Genomic DNA, 24,966 nt, shown 5'->3' with positions numbered 1-24,966 from the left:
ATCTGCCTACCTGGGCCTCCCAAAGTGCTAGGATTACAGGTGTGAGCTACCACGCCTGGCTGCTAATCCTAAATTTTTTAATTAATTTAAAAATATTTATTAAACACTATCTGAAGTTATTTATGAAAGTAAGCAGATTGTATGCACACAAATAAAAGTAAATTAATGTCTTACTATCTCCCACCGGTCCAGGTATCTCAAAGTGTGGTCCAAGGAATACGCCAAAATCACCTAGGGGTACTTGTTAGAAGTAGATACTGGAAACACCTACTAAGTCAGAATCTCTGGGAATGAAGCCCAGGAATCTGTCTTTTAACAAACTCTCGAGGGACTTTTATACTTACTAAAGTTTAAGAATCCCTGGCAGGGTGCGGTGGCTCATGCCTGTAATCCCAGCACTTTGGGAGGCCGAGGCAGGTGGATCATGAGGTCAGGAGATCGAGACCATCCTGGCTAACACGGTGAAACCTTGTCTCTACTAAAAATACAAAAAAATTAGCCGGGTGTGCTGGCGGGCGCCTGTAGTCCCAGCTACTCAGGAGGCTGAGGCAGGAGAATGGTGTGAACCCGGGAGGCGGAGCTTGAAGTGAGCCAAGATTGCACCACTGCACTCCAGCCTGGGTGACACAGCAAGATTCCGTCTCAAAAAAAAAAAAAAAAAAGAATCCCTGTACTGTACTGTAAGCTTTTTATATCGCTGTGCCTGGCATGTCGCATACAGTCATGTACCGCATAATGACATTTCGGTCAACAGACTACATATAGGACAGTGGTCCCACAAAATTATAATAAAGCTGAAAAATTCCTATCACCTAGTGACCTCATAGCCACCGTAATGTTGTAGCAGAGCACACTATCTTTTCTATGTTTAGATACACAAATGCTAATCATCATGCTACAATTGCCTACAGTATTCAGTATAGTAACACGCTAGATAGGTTTGTAGTCTAGAAGCAAGAGGCTATACCATACAACCTAGGTGTGCAGTAGGTAACACCATCTAGGTTTGTATGAGTATAATGGTGTTTGCATGACAACGAAAAGCCTAATGGCGCATTTCTCAGAACATATTGCCATTATTAAGCAATGCATGACTGTATATTCAATGATGTTTATTTACTGAATGGATTAATGATATCGCTTGAGGTATGAAGTAACATATTTGAGAACTCCAAAAACAAAAACATTCTACAAAAATGTAAGGCATTGCCATTTTTTGTTTAGAATGCTTCCTCTTAATCTCTTAGCAGCATTTAACATAGTTGACCACTTTCTCCTTAAAACACGATCTTCTCCTGGTTTTTGAGACACCAGTTTCTCCTGGTTTTCTTCCTACCTCAAGGGCCTCTCCTCCTTAGCCTCCTTCCTGGCTGTTTCTCTGCTGACTCTGACCCTGGTCCCCTTCTCTTAAGTGCCTTCATGGATAGCACTGAACACCATCTATGTGCCAGATACTTCCAAATCTGTATTTTTAGCGCTGACCTCGCCCTAAAACTCCAGACTCATACATACAGTTACCTGTCTGACATCTCCACAGGGATGTCTATAGACTTATTTGTTGTTTGTATTCTTGTGTGTAGTCTTTTTTCTTGTCCAATATTAGAATCTCCTTTCAGAGTTTAGGAAGTGTCACACTATGTAAGAGGCTGCTTCTCATTTGAGAAATCTAAAAGGCCAGATATTTGTTTCCCCAGCACTCCGAGCAGCTAGCCCCATGCCCTGGCTTAGTCAATCAGATGTGCCCCTTAGGGATTCTGAATAGTTAGCTAATTACATAAAAAAGCAAAGCAGTGAGGAATTAATTCTGCAGGTGCTAGTGGCTGAATCCGGTGTTCTGAAGTAGCCACAGCAGTGTCCTCACCAGACAGGTTCTGCAATATGATTATAAGTTCCTAGCCTTCCTATGTAACAGCCCATTTTCTGAGCTTCGTAAACTTAATTTTCCTGTGGATTTTGTGAGATATCAAACGTTGTTTTTTTTTTTTTTTTTTTTTTGAGACAGGGTCTCACTCTTGTTGCCCAGGCTGGAGTGTAGTGGCGCGATCTCGACTCACTGCAACCTCTACCTCCTAGATTCAAGCGATCCTCCTGCCTCAGCCTCCCCAGTAGCTGGAACTACAGGTGTGCACCACCATGCCCAGCTAATTTTTGTATTTTTAGTAGAGATGGGGTTTCACCATGTTGGCCAGGCTGGTCTCGAACTCTTGACCTCAGGTAATCCACCTGCCTCAGCCTCTCAAAGTGCTGGGATTACAGGCGTGAGCCACCACGCCTGGCCAAATACTGGTTTTGTTTGTTTGTTTGTTTGTTTTTTGAGACAGAGTCTTGCTTTGTCACCCAGGCTGGAGTGCAGTGGCACGATCTTGACTCACTGCAACCTCCGCCTCCTGGGTTCAAGCAATTCTCCTGCCTTAGTCTCCCAAGTAGCTGGGACTACAGGCGCCCGCCACCACGCCCGGCTTTTTTTTTTTTTTTTTTTTTTGTATTTTTAGTAGAGACAGGGTTTCACCATGTTGGCCAGGCTTGTCTCGAATTTCTGACCTCAAGTGATCCGCCCACCTCGGCCTCCCCAAGTGCTGAGATTACAAGCATAAGCCACTGCGCCTGGTCCAAATAGTGCTTCAATAAGCAGTTTTTCTGCTTAAATCAGCCACAGTTGGTTTCTATTGCTTGCAGAATTCTAATACAATGTTTAGTAGGTTCCTCAATATGTAATATAGCCATTAGAAGTCTTAATTCCCCACAAACCTACTCTTCTCCTATTTTTTTCCATCTCAGGAAACTACCATATATCTAACTGCTCAGGTCAAAAGTCTAGGCCATTATCTTTGATGTCACTCTTTCCCTTATTCTCCCAATGCAATCAATTAGAAAATTCAATCAACTCTACCCTAAAACTTGTCCCAAATGTATCCACTTCTCTCCATTAATTACTATTATCCTAGTCTAAGCTACCATTATGTCCTACCTAGACTTTTGCCTGTCTCTACAACATATTCTCCATACAGTAGCCCAGGATATTTTAAAAACACAAAGCAGATCATGTCACTTTCCTGTCTAAGCCTTCAATGGCTCTTCCCACTGAACTCAAAATCCAAACTCCTTACCCTGACTTACAAAGGCCTATGTGGACTGATTCTTGCCTATGTCTCAGATTTCATCTCCTAACACTCTCCTGCTATGGTGCAGCCACACTGGACTTCTTCATGGTCCTTGAACATCTTCCCATTGACGTCAAATGGGCGGCTCCTCCCTTTAGGTCTCAGCTCAATCTGATGACCAATCTACAGTATCAACTTATCAGACCAAACTAGTTTAATTTGCTGCATAGCACTTGCTATCTGATAATATTTTGAGAGCAAGATTCTTGGCTTTTCACTACAATCTCCCTACCAATTTACAAATATGTAATGTGTGTTGTTATTGTCAGCAACAACATTCATTCATTCAAAATATTTTTGAGAATTGTTACTGTTGTTAACAACAATTAAAACATACATTATAGGTGAGTAAACTGCTGTTTGGCAAAGCTAAGTTGCGCAAAGTCACACAAGTAGTTTGTCTCGAACTCCTGACCTTCCACCTCAGCCTCCCCAGTAGATGGGATTACAGGCTGGAGCCACCAAGCCCAGCACTGGTAATCTGTGGTAGAGCTATGATTCAAACCCAAGCCTTTTGACCCTGAAGCCTGACGTCTGAAATGCTGCCCCCAACCTACTCAAATCTTGACTTCCCATTAACACCCAGCTCAGGTCATAACCTTCCATAAAGCCTTCCCTGACTATTTTATCTAAAATGAAAATAGCTCTCATACTCTGGATGTTGTAGGGGGAAAAAAAAAGATAAAAAGAAAATAGCACCGATATATTTCACATATTCTATTGACTACCTCCACTGTCATAGCATTAACTATTATTTCACGTTATCTGATTGTAACTTAAGGGATCAGCAACTTAGGTTGCTCCTTCAGTAAAAGCAGCTTAGAGACTATTCTGTTGTACTGATTAATGATTAAATTTCTAGTTTAATATTACCTAAAAAAAAAAGAGTAGTTATTTCAGAGGCTAAAGAAGTAAGTATGAACTGGCTTATTCTACCATTTCTCCACAGACTTTTAAGCTACTCCAATCGTGCCTTTAGTTGGGCTGTATATCCTCAGGAGCCACTAAATGTCTGACATATATATATATATATATATATATATATATATTTTTTTTTTTTTTTTTTTTTTAGACAGAATTTGGCTCTTGTTGCCCAGGCTAGAGTGCAATGGCTTGATCTTGGCTCACCACAACCTCCACCTCCAGGTTCAAGCGATTCTCCTGCCTCAGCCTCCCAAGTAGCTGGGATTACAGGCACGCACCACCACGCCCAGCTAATTTTTTGTATTTTAGTAAAGACAGGGTTTCACCATGTTGGCCAGGCTGGTCTCGAACGCCTGACCTCAGGTGATCCGCCTGCCTTGGCCTCCCAAAGTGCTGGGATTACAGGCGTGAGCCACAGCGCCCAGCCAGATGTCTGAAATTTCTATGTTCTTCCAGTTGCTGTTGATTCATTCTTTTCAGTTGTGACCATCTCTGTTCTCCTCTAACCCTGTGATTGTTTCTGCTTCTATTCCTTCATCTAACACTGCTGCTTCTCACTGGTAATATTTTATTTTAGAGCAGGGATCAGCAAACTGTAGCTCACAGGCCAAATCCAATCTGCCATTTATTTTCATAAAGTTTTATTGGAACACAGCCACACTCATTTGTTTAGTATTGTCTATGGCTGCTTTTGCGCTATAATAGTAGCACTGAATAGTTGCAACAGAGAACAAGTGGCCCGCAAAGCTAAAATATTTACTATCTAGCCCTTTACAAAAAACATTTGTGAAACCATAGCTTAGAGGAAATACAACTGAAACCCAGAAGGGTGAAGTCACTTGTCCAAGATCCTATAACTGGTAAGTGGCAGGAACAGAACTATTACATTCATTTATATGGACTTTATAAATTCTGAAAGTCATAGAACCTTACAACAGTTTCTCTCTACATCTCCGTAGTCTTCTTTGAGACTTTAATAGTCAACTACCAAAGTCTCAAAGAAAGTAATAGACTGGGTGTTAATGGGAAGTCAAGATTTGAGTAACGGTCAAGAGACCACTTAAATCTCAAAAGTAATCATCAAAAAAGCAGAGTATAACAAATCTGCAGTACTCAGTGGTACTGCAGTCTTTGGTAATCAATCTTCAGGTGAGTCCTCCAGAACACTGGATATTTTCTTGGAGGAGACAAGGCCAATAACACTGGCTTTGTTTAAGAGCCTCCAAACTAATACTAAACAGAATTTGACTATTCAAGAGTCCAACTTAACTACCTAAAAGAACTAGGCAGATAACAGAAGTGAATAAATCAGTCTAATATATAAGATAACATAACAGAGAGTGAAAAAGCCTTGGCCAAAAATTTAAAACAATACTGTAAAACCAAACAAACATAGCTGCAGACAAGAGCAGGATTTGGTATCAAGCCACCAGTTTCTATCCCTGGCCTATGTTATCAATTTCTGTAAATCTTAAAAAGCCAAAAGGTAAACTCCTAGCCTTTAAATAACAAATTTTAAAAAGAAAAAAACAAAAACTGATTAATTCTTTTATTAAAATTTTAAGAATAAAGTATCAAATAAAACAAACCACTTGGATAAAACTTTCTTATCCCCAGGTAGCCTTACCTTCCACAACATACACCTTCGTCAAAGGAAAGTCAATACTCTTTGCCATTACTTCAATTTCTTCTTTAAGCTTTCCCTCAGGCAGAGGTGTGAATTTGTCAAATAAAGGGGCAATATAATCAGCATAGATTGTGACAAGAACCTGAAAAGTAAATGTCAGAATAACATATGAACATGTTCTTAAAGAAAAAACATTCTTTATTATACAGATTAAATTATATTAAAACAACTATGTTGACCTCAAACTTGAGAACAAGGAACTTACTTGCTCTGGTATTCCCAGGCCCAAATAGTACCAGATAGTAAGAGCATAATATCTGTCTGATGAATTAAATTGAAATGAGTAGTCTGATAACAGAGTAAACTTATGAATTTTATTTTAAAGGATAATGCTACTAACAGTGATTAAAATCTCTAGGTGGTAATAAGTATAGTCCTTTCAAAACTATCTTGGGGATTTCTGATGCTTCATGAGTCAATCATAACACGCAGTTCTACCTTTTAGCGTAATCACAATAGACCTGAAGTCTTTCCCAAAAAAGAATTAGTAGAACTTGATTGTGTGCTGTTACTTGGTTGGCTTATCAGCTAAAATTAATTACCTGTAGTTCATAATTGTACAATGTGGTTGAAATAGCACTTCCTTAAGCATTTTTAGAGCATTTTCTCTGCTCTTTTTCATCTTACTTTAATTTGCCATACAATAGATACCTGTAAATCCAACTAGCGCCCATTTTCTGATCTTGATCCCATCAATGGAAAATGAAACAATGAGCATTATGTAATTCAGACTAAAATAAACCTCAGCTTGGGCATGGTGTCACACACCTGTAGTCCCAGCTACTCAGGAGGCCAAGGCAGGAGGACTGCTTGAGCCCAGGAGCTCAAAGCTGTAGTGCACTATGATCATGCCTGTGAAATAGCCACTGTACTCCAGCCTGGGCAACACAGGGAGGCCCTATCTCTAAAATAAAATAAACCTCATCAGTGGAGCTGAAGAGCTGATAGATGATAATTTCTGGGTGCACTGAACAGACCACTTTGGGTTTTTTCATTTGGGTTTTTTAAAAATTATTATTTGTAGAGACAGAGTCTCACTGTGTTACCCAGGCTGGTCTTAAACTCTTGGGCTTAAGCAATCCTCCCACCTTGGCTTCCCAAAGTGCCAGGATTACAGGCATAAGCCACTGTGCCTGGCCCTGAACAGACCATTTTGACTGCGTTGTAGTGTTTGTGTTGTGAAGCACTTGAGAGTATGGAAAGAGAAGAGGAATAGGAGATGTGAGGGAGGGAAAAATCAGGGGGAAAAGAGTGAGAGGGAAAAGGAAAGGAGAAGAGAGGCAGGAATAGGTGGCAGTTGGGGAGAAAAGGGAAGACAGGAGAAGGAAAGGAAGAAGAATGGGTAAAAGATAGAAGGGGAAGGGGAAGCAGATGGGGCAAAGAAGGGAGAGAGTGTCTAACGTGGAAGGGAAAGGCAAGGGAAGGGAAGCAGAAGAAAGCCAGTTAAGTATATGCTTTCTTTCTCTTGTCCCTCTTAAATCTCATTTCTCTTCAAAATAACCATGATTTTAGGCAGTGGAGGTCAGTCAGGAGTCATTAAATTATCACACTTAGTCATTCTGGTGGCAACTCGCAAATGCACAACCCAAAACTGCCTGACAACTGAATCATTAAAAGTGACTAACAACTAGTTTCTATGACCTGAAGAGTTAGCATAAGGAGAAGGAAATTTATGGTCAGTCAATACTCCTGTGTCTACAATCAAAAGCAGAAACCAAGGGGGAAATGTATATAAGCACCTATTTATATTTCAGCTGCTTCTTAAGAACTGTTTACATGCCAATGAAGATTACAGTAATCTCACCAAGGAACTTTTGCAAAAGAAAACGAAATAAAGATTTTACTCACCAGAGACACAACTAATGTGAACAGCCAGGCATAAATAAAAAAATAGTCACCCCCAATTTTAATAATGTAAAGTAGAAGTGAAGACACAGGCAACAAAATACACTGAGTCACAACAAATTTCTTGATTGCATCTTTCATGAAGAACCCCAAAGTCTGCAAAAAGAAAACATTACCACAAGAAACTGAGAAACTGGTTCTGCTTTTTAAAATAACTGATAAATAAATACAAAGGATACATTATTAAAGCAATTTTTAAAATTAACATGCAGTGAAACTATATTATATGACATTAGGCAGCTTAAGACAATGGGTAAATGTCTTGCATTTTACAGCTGAAAATTCATTTAAACCTTATTAACTGAGGACGAGTGCAGTGGCTCACAACTGTAATTCCAGCACTTTGGAAGGCCTAGATGGGAGGATTGCTTGAGCCCAGTAGTTCCAGGCCAGCCTGGGCAACATAGTGAGACCCTGTCACTACTAAAAATAATAATAAAAAAATTAACCCAGTGTAGTATAATTCATCTATAGTCCCAGATACTAGGCAGGCTGAGGTGGGAGGATTGCTTGAATCTGGAAGGTCGTGGCTACAGTGAGCCATGATCCTGCCACTGCACTCCAGCCTAGGTGACAGAACGAGACCCTGTCGCAAACAAACAAATGATTAGTAGCTGAAAAACAATAGATATTAGTGCTAAAGGAGTTTATAACATAAATTTCTTTTTTTTTTTTAAGAGACAGGTCTGGCTCTGTTGCCCAGGTTGGAGTACAGTGGCACAATGATGGCTCACCGTAGCCTCAACCTCCTGGGCTCAAGCAATCCTCCTGCTTTAGCCTCCCAAGTAGCTGGGACTTCAGGTGCATGCCACCACAACTGGCTTTTAGAATTTTTTTGTAGAGATGAAGTCTCACTATACTATCCAAGCTGGTCTTGAACTCCTGAACTCAAGTGATCCTCCCGCCTTAGCCTCCCAAAGTGTTGGGATTACAGGCGTGAGCCACTGTACCCAGTCAAGACTTTTTTTCTTTCTTTTTTTTTTTTTTTTTTTTTTTTGAGACGGAGTCTTGCTGTCACCCAGGCTGGAGTGCAGTGGCGAGATCTCAGCTCACTGCAAGCTCTGCCTCCCGGGTTCACGCCATTCTCCTGCCTCAGCCTCTCGAGTAGCTGGGACTACAGGCGCCCACCACCAAGCCCGGCTAATTTTTTGTATTTTCAGTAGAGACGGGTTTCACGGTGTTAGCCAGGATGGCCTCGATCTCCTGACCTTGGGATCCACCCGCCTCAGCCTCCCAAAGTGCTGGGATTACAGGCATGAGCCACTGGGCCTGGCCTTAAGTATTTTTTTTTTAAAATCAGTGTTGACCAGGTTGGCCTCGAACATGTAGCCTTGCCTCCCCGAGTGCCAGGGCAACTGGCCAGAGCCACCGCGGCCCCCAAGACTTTCAGCTATGATCTTTACCATATCTGTAGTTCCCTTTTTTCTCAATTCATACTCTGAAATAGTAAATTATGTTTAAATTATAAACAGTACAGGACAAAAGCACAGAAGTTTTTCACATTTAAAAGAGAACATTTGTATTCTTTATTATACCTGTTGATTGAAGCCATGTTTTTCTTCTATCACAAAAGTATTATAAAGACTCCATGGCAAACCAGTCAATGCACTGAAAAGTGTAGCCAACAGCAGAAACACCAGGGACTGAGTGATCTAAACAAAAGAAAAAACAAAAATCCAGTTTTTATGAACTACTGGCAAACAAATCAACAAGTATTTGCTGAGCACTTACTTACTACATCCCAAGCAATATGCTTGATTCTATGGATAACATAAGGTCTGAAATATCATCCCTGCCTTCAAAAAAGTTTACTTTTGAGAGAAGTAAATGAGAAACAAAACAATTCCTTTTTTATTACACAGGCACTATATGAAAGGTACCTTAAATCATACAGACAAATCCCTAAGATAAAGAGCCTGGATTCTTGGCTTACCACATGGAAGAAAGTCACCTGATAACTAAAAATACTCACACTGGACTATTACGTGATTGAGAAATAAACCATTGCAAATAAGCCTGTGATATTCTGGGATTTGTTATTGTAACTAATGTTATGCCAATACAGCATGGGTAACCAAGGACTATGCAAACAGAGAGGCAAATCTTAACATTGGCAGAAGCCAAAAAATTAACTTTAGTGGAAAGCCTGCCAAGCTAAAAGAAATACCATGACAAATACATGCTAATGAATCACATACCTCATATTCTGGTCCAAAGCCAGCATAACCACAGAACCGTCCAGAAAGTCTCCAGAGATAAGGTATTCCTCCAAAGAGAAGAATAAGCTATAAAACAAAGCATACTTTGATCACAGTTGAACAGTACTAGAAACTATCATATGAGAAAGCATGGTATAAAGAAAGAAAGGACAAAATAATCATCTCTATTAAAAAAACAAAAGAGGCCAGTACGGTGGCTCATGCCTGTAATCCCAGCACTTTGGGAGACTGAGACAGAAGCATCGCTTGAGGCCAGGAATTCAAGACCAGCCTGGGCAACAAGGTGAGTTGAGACCCCATCTCTACAAAAAATTTAAAAATTAGCTGGGCCTGATAGTGCGTACCTGTAGACCCAGCTACTTGGGGGACTGAGGTGACAGGATTGCCTGAGCCTGGGAAGTCAAGGCTCCAGTGAGCCGTGATTGTGACACTGCACTCCAGCAAGGCAATAAACTGAGACCCTGTCTCAAATAAAATAAAATAAAATAAAATAAAATAAAATAAAATAAAATAAAATAACAAAATAAAATATTTTTTTAAAAAATAGACCTATTTCACATTTAGCATAAATTATGCATTTAGATGAGTACTAACCATTGAGATACTAAATTTAGGTGGTTAATATAACATTTTTGTCTGTACACTATATATGGATGAATTGTATGGTATATGAATTGTATGGTACATGAATTATCTCAATAAAGCTGTTCTAAAACAAAACAAAAAAAAACCTTTTGTCAAAAGACCACAACAAAATCACAAACTAAACTTAGAAAGGTTAAACAGCTGGGTATGGTAGCATATGCCTGTAATCCCAGCACTTTGGGAGGCCAAGGCAGGCAGATTGCTTGTGCTCAGGAATTCGAGACCAGCCTGGACAACATGGTGAAACCTGTCCCTACAAGAAATACAAAAATGAGCCAATTATGGTGGCATGATTCTGTGGTCCCAGCTACTCGGGGGAGCTGAGGTAGAAGGATTGCTTGAGCCTGGGATGTCGAGGCTGCAGTGGGCCATGATCGTGCCTGCACTCCAGCCTGGGTGACAGAATGAGACCCTGTCTCAAAAAAAAAAAAAAAAAAAAAAAAAACTTGTTCGAAATCCAACAGCTAATGAGTGATAGAAATGGAATTTGAACCACATTAATATGGCTCCATAATTGTCTTTTCTGTGAAAGAAAATAGTCCTTTTCCATCAGAACAAAGCACAGAAGTGGAGAGTCATGTCCACTTACTAAACTGGGGAACAGAATGGGATTATCTGTGTCTTTGCTGGGTCAGGAAGAGGTGAGGTAGGGGCCCGGCTTTCACAGGAGAAGGCTCTTCCTCAGCACCACCCTTTGTCTTGGTCTTGGGCAGATAAAGTGAACACAGACATTCACTAAATAACCAGGACATTAGGAGCTAGGAAGCAGCTCAAAATTTGAGAAGAATGCATGTTTAAGAATTCTACCGCCCAAAACACATACAACTTTGTGGAACTCATTTGTCAAGAGGAATCAATTTATTTTTTCTCTCTGTAGGACAGCAGCTTAGGAACACAATGATCAATCACATTCCTTGACTAGAAGCACAATATTCCCACTGGTTCAGACATAGTTCCTCATGGTTTGAGGGGTTTTGGTACTATCATATTTCATGGGTACCCTTCCAATCTAATTCCCATTTTCATACATGTATCTACAAATAATATAGTGATTTATGTATGCTTTTAAAGAATGTATATAAATGACATCATATTATACTTATCAGTCTATGATTTGCTTTTTATATTCTAAATTTTCTTAGATCCATCCATGGTGGACTTCAACTTTATTTGGTATTATCAGGATATTTCCTAAAGTGTTTATAACAAATTACACTCCCATCAGCAGTACTCCAGTGTTTCTGTTTTCCCACAATCTCACCCACACTTTAAACTATCCATCTTTTAGACTGTTACCAGTACATTGGATTGGTTTAATATCATGGGTCTCAAATATGGTCTCTGGACAGCAGCAACAGCATCTGGGAATTTCTTAGAAATGCAAAGTCTCAGGCCCTACCCCAGATGTACCAAATCAGAAGCTGGAAGTGGGGCCCAGCAGTTTCTAGGTAAACCTGATGTACACTAAAGTTTGAAAATCATTGCTTTAATAAATTGTTTTCTTTTTTTAAGAGACAGAGTCTCACTCTGTCACTCAGGCTAGGGAGCAGTGTTATGATCATAGCTTACTGAATTTTTGAACTCCTGGGTTCAAAGGATCTTTCCATGTCAGCCCCCCAAGTAGCCAGGACTGTATGCACCACCATACTTGGCTAATTTTAATTTTTTGTACAGATGGGGTCTCACTATGTTGCCCAGGCTGGCCTCAAGCAGTCCTCTCACTGTGGCCTCCCAAAGTGCTGGGATTACAGGCATGAGCTACTGCACTCAGCCCCAATAAATTGCTTTTCAAAAGGCTCCCCTAACACTACCTCCAGGTATTTCCACTTTACTACAACTAATTCAATCTTAGACATAAACCTTGTTTTCCCAAAAGACATGCTTTGGTACCACTGTCTGACATATGCTGTAGTTGTTGATCTAATTGACCTGGGATGGTATTTCTTTCAGCCAATTCCCAATACTAATAAATAATGTATAATTAAGGACTTATAATGCTTTTAGTAAAGGCCACAGCAACTATTATTAAAAGTCCAGTATTTAAATAAGCATCAAGGGTAGTTTTAATATGAATTCTGAATGATCTATAAATGCATTTGAAAACTGATACTGCAAACCTTTTGGGGACTGAAAAACAAAGCATGTTTAGTTTCTTTTGGGGACTGAAAAACAAAGCATGGTGAACTGTACAATGTCTCTATGTTGACAATTTCACTAAGCATGCTCCCAGGGTTGTTCTATGGCAAAATTAATGATCCCAGAAAAAATAATTCCAGCGCTTTGACATATATTATTTCACTACATTCTTTTTTTTTTTTTTTTTTTTTTTGAGACAGGATCTCACTCTGTCACCAGGCGGGGGTACAGCAGTGTGATCACAGCTCACTGCAGCCTCCATCTCCTGGGCTCCAGCAACCCTCCCACCTCAGCCTCCAAGTAGCTAGAACTGCAGGTGCACATCACCACACTCAGTTGATTTTTTAAAAATTTTTTTGCAAAGATGGGGTATCACTATGTTTCCCAGGCTGGTCTCAAACTCCTGGGCTCAAGTGATCCTCCCACCTGAGCCTCTCGAAGTGCTATGATTACAGGATTGAGTCATCATGCCTGGCTTCACTACTACAGTCTTGAAAAACAGGCAGGGAAAAGGGTATAATCATCTCTATTTAATAGATGAGGCAACTGAAACTCTTTAACTGAAAGGTTACTTTAACTGAGAGGTTGAAGTAACTTGTCCAAAGAAACCCAATGACTAAGTAATTCCTACGCATTGAGCTTCATTTACGCTATCTCACTCACTTAGTCCTTGCCACAAACCATACAAGGTATGGCTTAACATCCACACACTTCTTATTTTATTTTTATTTATTTTTGAGATGGAGTCTCACTCTGTCACCCAGGCTGGAGTGCAGTGTTGCAATCTCAGCTCACTGCAGCCTCCACCTCCCGGGTTCAAGCAATTCTTGTGTCTCAGCCTCCTGAGTAGCTGCGACTACAGGCATGTGCCAACACGCCAGGCTAATTTTTGTATTTTTAGTAGAGACAGGGTTTCGCCATGTTGGTCAGGCTGGTCTCAAACTTCTGACCTCAGGTAATCCGCCCCCACCTCGGCCTCTCAAAGTGCTGGGAATACAGGCGTGAGCCACCGTACCCAGCCCACTTCTCATTTTAAAGATGAGAAAACTTAGGCTCAAGAAGGTGAAACTGCTCACATAGAAACATGCAAAAATTAGAGAAGCAACAATTTAAACTTTTCGACCCTGACCTACTCTGCTCCCCAGCCATTCCATTTCTTCAGTGGGCCCTTTATTGATATCTGTGAGATATTAGAGAAAGTGTCTCAGAGAGGCTGGAATTTTCTGTCTGGGTGCAGTGTCATATTTATGTGAACAGTGGCAACCATAAATGGCCACACAATGACTCTATTTAGGTTCCCTCAGGTAGAAAGTACTACGGCAAAAAAAAAAAAAAAAAAAGTCGAAGCTAATCTTCTCACTTGATCTCTGTGACCAAAACATACAAACCTATTAATTCTAATCAACACAAAATAGAAATTAATGAACTTGTTTCCAAACAAAACAAGGTTTCAAAGTTACCCAAAATATTCTTCCTGCCAAGCATAAATGCAGCCAGAAAATCCCCAGAGATAAATTTAGCACATTCATGTTGCAGTCTTTAGAGTTTCAAGAATGGATTTTTCAATGTCATTTTAAAGACTCAGCAGAACAGAGTTTGAAACCCAGTTATCCTACTTATTAGCATGTCCCTTGGCAATTAAACATGCAAACCCTTTAATTTATCCAAGCCTTTGCTTCCTCATTCATAAGAAGGGAATAATAATGCCTATCCTTTCCACTTCACTGTTGTAAACATCAAACAATACATATAAAAACTATGTATGAAGTGAAAATCATGACGACTATTAACTATTACTGTTCCCAACCTTAGCCCATCAGTACTGCTTCTAGTTTGAGCCACAGTACATTACAAAGCTCTCACTTTATATATGTATTCTCCCTATTTCTGTCATCCCCTAGAACAAACAGCCATTCCTATGGTCACCAACCATAATTACCAAGCTACTGTCTATCTTTCCTGGCACTATTTACCAGGGACAACCAAGGAGATTGAAAATGCTTTTCCTATTATTTTACTATGGCCCTGTAGTGGGTAAAGTCAAAGGACTTCCAAGAAGCAAACATCAGAAAGAGAATAGTGTCTACCTCATCTAATTGCCTTGTCATTATTAAACAGAGAATTCAGACTTTTCAGAGATGAAGAAAATATGGGAGCTATTAATCAGTATAGAACAAGAACTCTTGAGTATTACTTCTTCAGGTAGTGTTGTTAAGTTGTTCAACAATTCTCTGGAACTGGTGAAACAGAAGGGGAAATGTCAGTTGACAAAACAGCAAAACTCAGCCGTCAGACATCAACTGCAGAAAGAAGAGGCAAATACACTTACCAAGCAATGGAGGGAAAACATGCAAAATATTAAGTCAAGTTTGGAAGCAACTAGCTTTTGGGGAGAATGATACATTTAAGATCTTGGATATGTTTAATGTATTTTTTAAAGTTACTATAATTCTTTTTTGAGCTCCCTTTAGTCTTTTTTGGACCAAGGCCATTATATAAATACATAAGTAAACTCTCTTTCATCTATTTAAAAAAAAAAAAAAAAGAATAGTGTCTAAATTAACCACTTCTACTTCCATCTGTCTCTGAAGGATGATTTCCTACTTGTGACATGTCCCTAACAGAAGCAATGCTCAGATAAATTAACTAAAGCCAAGTCTTTATTGAAAAGATTACTTAATAGCAATAGCTGTGTATCCCCAAAGCCAATGAGACTTTGTTTTCCAAATCATTTATTAATTTTTCTAAATACCAAAATTTAACTCTTCTAGAAGCATTGCCATTTTCCATCACCTTGAAGAAATAAGTGCAGTTTCTAATAATTTGGATCTAACCACACTAGTCTTATTATTCCATACTTGTTAAGAAAAATTTTGTGATGAGCTAGACAATTCTGTCATTTACCACAGCTACATAAAGCCAGTTTCTTTAACTCATGAAACAATGATGGTAGCTGATCATAATTCTTTTAAATTTAGGAATCTTTCTCTTAGTGGTACTAGTAGATCTAAAAGTTCTAGAGAAATGATGATGATGATGATCAGGATGATAAAAATAAAAGTGGCAGGGCACAGTGGCTCATGACTGTAATCCCAGTACTTTGGGAGGCCAAGGCAGGCAGATCACGAGGTCAAGAGATCGAGACCATCCTGGCTAACATGGTGAAACCCCGTCTCTACTAAAAATACAAAAAATTAGCCAGGTGTGGTGGCACGCGCCTGTAGTCCCAGCTACTCAGGAGCCTAAGGTAGGAGAATCGCTTGAACCCGGGAGGTGGAGATTGCAGTGAGCCAAGATCGTGCGACTGCACTCCAGCCTGGGCGACAGAGCAAGACACTGCTCAAAAACAAAAACAAAACAAAACAAAAAAAGCAACAAAAAAACCCCACATTATTTCATTCAATAAATAGGAACTATATGCTGATTACATGCCAGGCACTAGGTATAAAATGATGAACAAGACTTAACTATTTCTTTAAGGAACTACCAGTCTGCCAATTAAACAGTCAAATCAGGCCAGGTACAGTGTGGCTCATGCCTATAATCCCAGCACTCTGAGACGGTATGGTGGCATGCAACTGTAGTCCCAACTACTCGGGAGGCTGAGGTGGGAGGATCATTTGCGCCTAGGAAGCAGAGGTTGCAGTGAGCCAAGATCACGCCACTGTACTTCAGCCTGGGTGACAGAGCAAGACTGTGCCAGAAGAAAAAAAAAAAAATCCAGGCAAATTCAACATAATGAGATAAGTACTCTGACAGGAATAATGATAGAATGCTACCCTATCCACATTCGTCAGGCAGGGAGTTTCAAATGGTTGCTTAGAAGACATGACATCTCAGCTGGATCCTAATGGAAGAGGATCTTTTTCCTACCTGGCTTCAGGGTAATAGTTCCCATATTCTATAGTTTTCAACTGACTAAGCAGTTATGTTTCTGTCTTTTTTGCTCCACAGCCGTTACTATCAATAACAAAGGTTAAGAAAGCATTCTGGGACTTGTAAGTGTGGTACCCTCTTTTGTGTTACAAAAATATGAAAATGAAAACAACCAGACAGACTGTCTCTCCAAGAAGTAAATTACTCACAGTGCCTTCAGTCTCTGAATAGAGTCCTGACCAGAAGCTGAAAGTGCTTTTATCCAGTTGATAGAGTCGAGATTTCTCAAATGTTTCAGAATCCATGATCTGTCCTAACTCCGGTGGTACATGAGTTGTTGTTTTATATATCCTTCTCTGAAATATTTTAAAGAAAACACTTTAGTGAAATAGTTGTTTATTACAATAGTCATTTATGATCAAACATCGAATGGTTTATAGCTTGCCACTTATATCTGTTGAATTTGCTTTATACCTACACAAATATTGCACTTGATCAAGTACATGAAACGACTGATGCAGGAAAATAAAAGCAGAACAAGAGAACCTGAGGTGACCTGACTGGTAAAACTATAATCAGGGTTGTCATCACACTTCAGTTTGTATATGTAAACCAAAGCTGTTAACATCACAACTTTGTTACATGTACTACTCATTCTGGGTATTACATACCTCCTATAATACGGAAAACAAATTCATGCAAAGGAGAAGCACACATGCTAACTGTGAGTATGAACAGATACTGAGGCTGCTCATTAAATTTGGTCCTAAATGCCAGAAACTTGAGGATCACCAGATGGAAACATATCAGGTCTGTGAGAAAAGACCAATTTTCAGCCGGGCACGGTGGGTCACGCCTGTAATCCCAGCAGTTTGGAAGACAGGGGCAGAAGGATTCCTTGAGCCCAGGAGTTCAAGACTGGCCTGAGCAATGTGGTGAAATCCCGTCTCTACAAAAAATACAAAAATTAGCAGAGTGTGGTGGTATGCACCTGTGGTCCCAGCTATTTGGGGGGCTGAGGTGGGAGGATCACTTGAGCCTGGGAGGCAGAGGTTGCAGTAAGCCCATATTGTGCCACAGCACTACACCCTGGGTGACAGAGAATCTATCTCCTTAAAAAAAAAAAAAAAAAAAAAAAAGGAGAAAGATCAACTATCTCATTATACTAAATTATAAAAGGTAAGGGTAATTTCAGTCCAGGAAATGTAATACAGAGAATGGATACCAAACAAAATAATGGGCCACTACAACATGCTTTCCCTATATATTGTTGTGTGCCAATAAAAGCTGAGGGGAGATCGAGCACGGTGGCTCATGCCTGTAATCCCAGCCCTTTGGGAGGTGGAGGCGGCAAGATGACTTGAGTCCAGGAACTCCAGACCACCCCGGGCAACATCTCTACAAAAAAATCAAACAATTAGCCAGGCACAGTGATCCGCACCTGTGGTCCTAGCAACTCAGAAGGCTGAGGTGGAGGTGGAGGGGTCGTTTGAGCCCACGAGTTCGAGGCTGCCTTGAGCTATGATGATGCTACTGTGCTCCAGTCTGGGTGGCAGAGTGAGCCCCTGTCTCTAAATACAATAAATATTCTATCCTGGCCAAGATGGTGAAACCCCGTCTCTACTAAAAATACTAAAATTAGCTGGGCGTGGTGGCACGTGCCTGTAATCCTAGCTACTCGGGATGCTGAGGCAGGAGAATCATTTGAACATCCCTCCCTCTGCGCGCTGCTGGCAGTGTCACAGACACACTCTTCCCCTTGCAGACTCTCCCTCGTCCCTCCTAGTTTCTTGCAGTGAGCCGAGATAACGCCACTGTACTCCAGCCTGGTGACAGAGCTAGACTCTAAAATTAAATAAATAAATAAAGATTAAAAATAAATAAATAAAAGTTCAGATCTCTAAACCATGGTTATCTCAGGTAAATTGTTAACTTTCACTTTTTATTTTACCATTTTAATATTTAAACTAAAATAATGTTGATTTTATGAAAAACGAGAAATATATTTCATTTAATTTCATTTATTTATTTATTTTGAGATTGAGTTTCACTCTTGTCGCCCAGGCTGGAGTGCAGTGGCACAATCTCAGCTCACTGCAACCTCCGCCTACTGGGTTCAAATGATTCTCCTGCCTCAGCCTCCCAAGTAGCTGGGACTACAGGTGCGCGCCACCACACCCGGCTAATTTTTCTATTTTTAGTAGAGACGGGTTTTCGCCACGTTGGTCAGGCTGGTCTCGAACTCCTGACCCCAGGTGATCCGCCCGCCTCGGCCTCCCAAAGTGCTGGGATTACAGGCATGAGACACCACGCCGGGCCCGATAAGTTTTTTGTTTGTTTGTTTGTTTTTTCAAGCAGAAACAATATATGCACTTTAAGGAGAAACAAGAGTGCAAGTTCTTGGAAGGACTGCAAAATCCTATGGTTAGGCATGATTACATAAATGTCATGAGGAAGTTGGGTGTCTAAATCCTTTTAAAGGCTTATTCCAAAGATAAAGGAGGCCAAGTCTGGGCCCAAGGATCCCAAGGAAGCTGCAGGGAGGGCACAAGAGCCCAAGCCTTCCTCCAGGCCCTAAAGGGATTGGGTCCCATGATAACGTTACAGAAAACTTCCTTGACGCACCAAGACCCTCCTCAAAGCCACAGTCCGCCATCGGGCCAAGTTACGAGACTCAGCAGGGACCACAAAGACGAGACTGGCGCGGGGACCGAAGCAATCAAGAGTCTCAGGGTCGAAGCCAAGGCTACTCCAGGGCTGGCCGGGTATGGGGGTCAGGTTGGACCCTGTCTAGGCTCACCTGCCGCTGTGCTAGGAAGGTCTCCCAAAGATACACTGTCCAGGAAAAGAGCAGCACGGCCCCGAAGATACGCTTCTCGGCCGGCATCTCCCACAAAGCGTCCAGCGATGCCCACATCCCCATGGCCACCCGGTTCCGCCGGCTCCTTCAGCGTGCACCGGTGCCACACCGACACTCGTCCCTTCAGAGCGTCCCCGCGGTGTCACAGCAATATCCGTTCTTTCCGAGGGCCCCTACGCCGATACCCGCCCCCATCCCTCCCTCTGCGCGCTGCTGGCAGTGTCACAGACACACTCTTCCCCTTGCAGACTCTCCCTAGTCCCTCCTAGTTTCTACAGGAAAAGCCCCAGCCCCACCTTCCTCACTTCCGGCCCAAAGAGGGCGGGGACCCAAACGCCGAGTTCCGGGCCCGGCTGAGCTGTGTTGCATCAACATTCTTCCCCCACGTCTTGACGCTGGGTTCCGGCCTAGGGTTCTGGCTTTCCTCCTGGGCTAGTGAACGCGGCGAAGTCCTCCTCTTTCTAATCTCCAGAGCCGCAGTTCCATCCTCTGGGTCAGCGGCTTACCCTGACTGGGCTGCGGTATCTGCCTTCCTTCCCCCAACAAGGCGACAGGTAGTCGGGGCTGGGGCCGGAACTGACTGAGTGGGCCGCAACTGACTGAGTGGGCCGCGGCTCCCGCCTGAGGAGGCTAGGAAGGACTGAACAGCAGCCGACTTCCCAGGCTCTAAAAATCGTGCCTCTGAGTTAGAGCTACCTCAAAAGCAAGACCAAGCATGAGAAATGGAGTCTTTTGGCCAGTATTGGGGTGTTCGGAATTCAAGCGTATGAGAGAGTGGACGGTAGCGTTGAGAATTTTCATTTGAAGATCTCGTCTTAACCACCCCAAGTGTAGTCAGAGGCGGCGTTTTCCCTGCGAGAGTGCCCTGGAACAAAGCAAGGATAGCGTGGGTTAGACATACCTGAAATGAAAGCGTCTTACTTTATCTAGGTACATATTTGCGTCAGTAAGGCGCAACGCCATTTCTCTCTTGGAATTCAGAAGTGAAATATGGTGACTGGGACGCCTGTACATTGCTTTGACTTAAAAATTGAAGTCCATTATTCTGACCGAAAGTTAATCTGATGATTAATTGGTTAAACATACTATCGTTGCTAATTAGCATAATTATTATTTACAATAAAGTGAGCTAAATAGCTACAACTAAAATATATTTAAATTACTGTGATATTGTGATGCTAAAGATGTGTTGAAATTAATATCTTGAATTTCTCAACCCTGCCTAAATGCCTCTGAGAGTAATTAGTATAATTAAAAGTCACTAGAGAAAGTGAATGACTCTAATAACAGGATAACAAATTCTTTTCAAGTCAGATGGTTTCCAGTTCTTTGCTTTCAACAAAATTAATGGTGGCCCATGAATTGTCAGCTGATGAAGGAACACTATTTGGTTTTTGGCATGCAACTCGGAAAGAAACCAAACGATTGATTGACATGCTTACAACAAAACTACTAGCATTCTCACCTATTTATGTAAAACCATTTCTCAGCACTTGTATCTGTGAAAACAACAGAATTGAAAATGAACCCTGTTAATCTACCAGTAGGAACTATTCATCCAGATAAATGAATTAATTGGTGGGTCAGCCCCATCTATCTCACTAAGAGATGTGTTCCCAATAGAATTTCACCTTTTATAACTGTGTGTTATCAATATTTGCAATCGTGTCATTTTGATCCATTATATACTAAAGATGATTGTGATGATTACTCACTTCAGAAGAATTCCAGCGTAGAGCCATAAAGTTACACGAAATTTTTTAAGGTTTACTACATATGTCATATTTTTATTGCGAAGAAGTGATCAAGAAAAGGTTGTTCAAACATCAAAGTACTATATTTGAATAACATTTTTTGTTAGAGTACAATCTAAATATGTTAGAGATAATAAAAGAACAATGTTGAAGAGCTCATTAGTGTATGTTTTAATGCATAATGGTGGTTATTCAGTTGTTATGTAGATTCTCTTGGATACATTATAAAGAGTGATTTAACAGTTTTATCTTAAAATGTCAGTATTTACAATTTGCAAGAATTTACATCCATTGCAACTATTTGAATTTATGATGGAACCAGTTAGATACCAACTTAAATATATAAGGGGTAAACACTTTTTCAAAATTTTCTCTCCCTCAGGCCATCATTGCTATGCCCTCTTCACTCTTGACTTCAGCTGTCTGTGAGTCCAAAGCCTCACAGGAGCTTCTACCACCCAAGCTTTGTGGCTAAGGGCACAGGTTTAGAGTCAAGCTGCTTGATTGCCAGCCACGGCCGCACCATGTATTAGCACGTTCTTTAATCTGTGCATCAGATCCTCATCAGTAAAATGAGAATAACATAGTATGTACTTACTTTCTCATACTGTTAGGATCAAATGAGAAAATTCATGTAAAGCTCCTAGCAATGTAGATGGCCCTGAGTGCCCAATAAAGGTTAGCTACTGCTTGGGAGAGGGGCATCATAGCATTGATCTGTCACCATGTGTCTGAAGAGATAGGAGAGTAGGAGGCCGAGGTGTCAAAAAGCCAAGACTGACTGGAATTCATTCATTCAATAAATACTGAATGTCTGCGAAATGCCAGACGCATTTCCAGGTGCCAGGGATATAGCAGTGAACCAAAGCCCCTCTCCTGGAGCTTACATTCTTAGCTGGGGTGGATGCAGTGTTTGATAAATAATAAGCAAATATTTAATAGTAAAAGTGGAAGTGGTGATAAGTGCTATGAAGAAAAAGCAGCAAAAAGGCAATACAGCATGTTGGTGTGAGGGATGCTGCTTTACATAAGTTGGTCAAGGAAGCCTTCTCAGATTAACTGGCATTTGAGTCCCCCAAAAAAAGTAAGAGAACAAGCTGTGTGGATATCTGAGGAAATTGCCAGTCAGAGTGAAGAGCAAGTGCAAAGGCCCTGAGATTGGCCAATGCTTATCATATCTGAGGAATGGCAAGAGGCTGTGGAAAGAGTAAGGAAGAGGGGGAGTGCAGATCCATGCCATCATGCAGTCTTTTAGTTAAAAGACTTTTACTTAGAATGAAAGAATAAGCCATTGCAGGATTTTGAGCAGAGCATTGCAGAGTTTTGAGCAGACAATCCTTCTCATTACAACGTGGAGAATAAATTTAATGGGGAATGGAAGGAGGGAGTGCAGTTAGGAGGCCATTTCAAGAATCCAGGTGATTTAGCAGTTGCCAAGGATATCAGAAAAAAAGAAAAAAGAATCCAGGTGAGAGATGGTAGTGCAGACTAATGTGGTGGCAGTGGAGAACTAGTGAATTATGGAAAGTGAATAATCACTTGTTTCTCTTTTCAGAAAGACAGTACTAATAGAAGGGCTGGCCTGTGTGGAGTCTAAAAATGGGAACCTCAAAACAGGCTGTTGGCAGGATTTTGCTAAAGGAGAAAGACTGGCAGGGTGTGCTGGCTCACACCTGTAATCTCAGTTCTTTGGGAGGCCAAGGTGGGATAATTGCTTGAGTGCAGGAGTTCGAGACCAGCCTAGGCAACACAGTGAGACTTCATCTCTATAAAAATAAATAAAATGACTGAATTTGAAAGATAAAGATTATTATCCCTAGAGTGATAGACATTGCTGTAGGGTAGTCCATCTACCCTGTCTAACCTAAATCATAGAGTTGCTCTCAAGCTTTTTCCCTATCTTGCCTTGATTCTCTGCTTACCAAGCATTCAAGGTCCCTTAATTGAAACTCTGGCCATAAGTGCTCTGGCCTCAAGAAAAGAATGATCCCCCTTGGCTGGGCGCAGTGGCTTACGCCCGTAATCCTAGCATTTTGGGAGGCCGAGGTGGGTGGATCACTTGAGGCCAGGAGTTTGAAACCAGCCTGGCCAACATGGCGAAACCCCATCTCTACTAAAAATACAAAAAAAAAAACAAAAGACAAAAAACCAGGCATGGTGGTGGACGCGTATAATCTGGAGGCTGAGGCAGGAGAATCGCTTGAACCCGGAAGGCGGAGGTTGCAGTGAGCGGAGATCACACCACTGCACTCCAGCCTGGGTACCCTTACAAGAGCAGCTGTTATTTCTTTTGCATCTAGCTCATTCTACTTTCTAGCTCATACGTTCTGTCTCTCATATAGGCTACTAATTCTGTGTTACTCCCTGTTAAAAAAGAACAAAAACAAAAACCCTGTAATGGTCCATTTATGATAGTATAAAGCCCAACCTATATATGGTATATATGGTATGACCTTCGAGGTCCTTCATTACCTGACATCAGTCTACTCTTCAAAACTCTTCTTTTTTGGCCGGGCGCGGTGGCTCACGGCTGTAATTCCAGCACTTTGGGAGGCCGAGGCGGGTGGATCATGAGGTCAGGAGATCGAGACCATCCTGGCTAACACGGTGAAACCCTGTCTCTACTAAAAATACAAAAAATTAGCCAGGCGTGGTGGCGGGTGCCTGTAGTCCCAGCTACTTGGGAGGCTGAGGCAGGAGAATGGCATGAACCCGGGAGGCTGAAGTTGCAGCGAGACAAGATTGCGCCACTGCACTCCAGCCTGGGTAACAGAGCGAGACTCCGTCTCAAAAAATATACATATATATATATCCTTCTGGGCCGGGCGCAGTGGCTCATGCCTGTAATCCCAGCACTCCGGCAGCCCAAGGCGGGTGGATCACCTGAGGTCCGGAGTTCCAGACCAGCCGGGCCAACATGGTGAAACCCCATCTCTACTAAAAATACAAAAAGTTAGCCAGGCATGGTGGCGGGCGCCTATAATCCCACCTACTCGGGAGGCTGAGGCAGCACAATCGCTTGAACCTGGGAGGCAGAGGTTGCGGTGAGCTGAGATCGCGCCACTGCACTCCAGCCTGGGCAACAAGAGCGAAACTCTGTCTCAAAAAGTAATAAAAATAAAAATATACTTCCATGATGATCCCGCTCAGGAATATTATCTTCCATTTCTTTGTCTGCCTATGTAATCATTTATGGGACACCTCGATGTCACTTCCTTTGCAAAGCCTTTCCTGGCCCCACCCTGTATTCACCCACCTGTTTTTGCATTTAGTACACGATACAGTGAAGTCTCATCCAGGGGTGGCATTTTAACTCCAGTGGATCAGGCAGAAATTACAAATGGTCAAGATTACCCTTCCCTTAGGAAGATGCCCCTTTGGAGACTGCTATTTTTTTTTTTAAAGACAGGGTCTCACTCTGCCATCCAGGCTGCTTGCTGCAGCAATCTCCTAGGCTCAAGTGACCCTCCTGCTTCAGCCCCCTGAGTATCTGGGACTGCAGGTGTGCACCACCACACCCAGCTAATTTTTTTATTTTTTGTAGAGATAAGGTCTCACTATGTTGCCCAGGTGGGTCTCGAACTCCTGAACTCAAGCAATCCTCCTGCCTTGGCCCCCCAAAGTGCTGGGATTACAGGCGTGAGCCACTGCACCCAGCCTTACATTGTGTCTTGTTGAGCAGCATAGCCAGTTTTTCTCCAGGAAGGCAACAAATCACTTTATCTGCATACCAGATGAAATGTTTTTTTTCTGTAGACCTCCTCTGTGGGTATGAAATATTTCATTTAGGTGCCAGATA

The 24,966-nt window shown here is 41.6% G+C and overlaps 1 protein-coding gene across 3 annotated transcripts in view, besides 5 other annotated features; it reads right to left on the bottom strand.

Moving 5' to 3' along the window:
* The window catches only part of ZMPSTE24 (zinc metallopeptidase STE24), a 35,945-nt gene extending 16,433 nt beyond the window's left edge, over positions 1 to 19,512 (bottom strand). For 2 of the 3 annotated variants that reach the window (NM_005857.5, XM_047427590.1), the window contains exons 1-6: positions 19,354 to 19,512; positions 16,763 to 16,909; positions 9,876 to 9,962; positions 9,213 to 9,329; positions 7,621 to 7,773; positions 5,713 to 5,854 (exon numbers count right to left, since the gene is read on the bottom strand). In NM_005857.5, coding sequence (NP_005848.2) covers positions 5,713 to 5,854; positions 7,621 to 7,773; positions 9,213 to 9,329; positions 9,876 to 9,962; positions 16,763 to 16,909; positions 19,354 to 19,476 — 769 coding nt within the window. In that variant the 5' untranslated portion in view covers positions 19,477 to 19,512. Of the gene's footprint in view, positions 1 to 5,712; positions 5,855 to 7,620; positions 7,774 to 9,212; positions 9,330 to 9,875; positions 9,963 to 14,764; positions 14,910 to 16,762; positions 16,910 to 19,353 lie in introns of those variants that run through there. The other variant, XM_047427582.1, reaches the window with a different exon arrangement.
* Positions 5,059 to 5,158: an enhancer, noted in NCBI's record as "active region_838". NCBI's record gives its function as "activates an Ori minimal core promoter by ATAC-STARR-seq in GM12878 lymphoblastoid cells {active_cell/tissue: GM12878}" and the evidence as "EXISTENCE:reporter gene assay evidence [ECO:0000049][PMID:35858748]".
* Positions 19,102 to 19,201: an enhancer, noted in NCBI's record as "active region_837". NCBI's record gives its function as "activates an Ori minimal core promoter by ATAC-STARR-seq in GM12878 lymphoblastoid cells {active_cell/tissue: GM12878}" and the evidence as "EXISTENCE:reporter gene assay evidence [ECO:0000049][PMID:35858748]".
* Positions 19,292 to 19,571: an enhancer, noted in NCBI's record as "active region_836". NCBI's record gives its function as "activates an Ori minimal core promoter by ATAC-STARR-seq in GM12878 lymphoblastoid cells {active_cell/tissue: GM12878}" and the evidence as "EXISTENCE:reporter gene assay evidence [ECO:0000049][PMID:35858748]".
* Positions 19,652 to 19,921: an enhancer, noted in NCBI's record as "active region_835". NCBI's record gives its function as "activates an Ori minimal core promoter by ATAC-STARR-seq in GM12878 lymphoblastoid cells {active_cell/tissue: GM12878}" and the evidence as "EXISTENCE:reporter gene assay evidence [ECO:0000049][PMID:35858748]".
* Positions 20,152 to 20,281: an enhancer, noted in NCBI's record as "active region_834". NCBI's record gives its function as "activates an Ori minimal core promoter by ATAC-STARR-seq in GM12878 lymphoblastoid cells {active_cell/tissue: GM12878}" and the evidence as "EXISTENCE:reporter gene assay evidence [ECO:0000049][PMID:35858748]".

The sequence above is a fragment of the Homo sapiens genome, chromosome 1, assembly GCF_000001405.40.
Source record: "Homo sapiens chromosome 1, GRCh38.p14 Primary Assembly".
Taxonomy (NCBI): Eukaryota; Metazoa; Chordata; class Mammalia; order Primates; family Hominidae; genus Homo; species Homo sapiens.
Note: the sequence above shows the minus strand (reverse complement) of the source record. Positions and strands in the feature narration are given on the sequence as shown.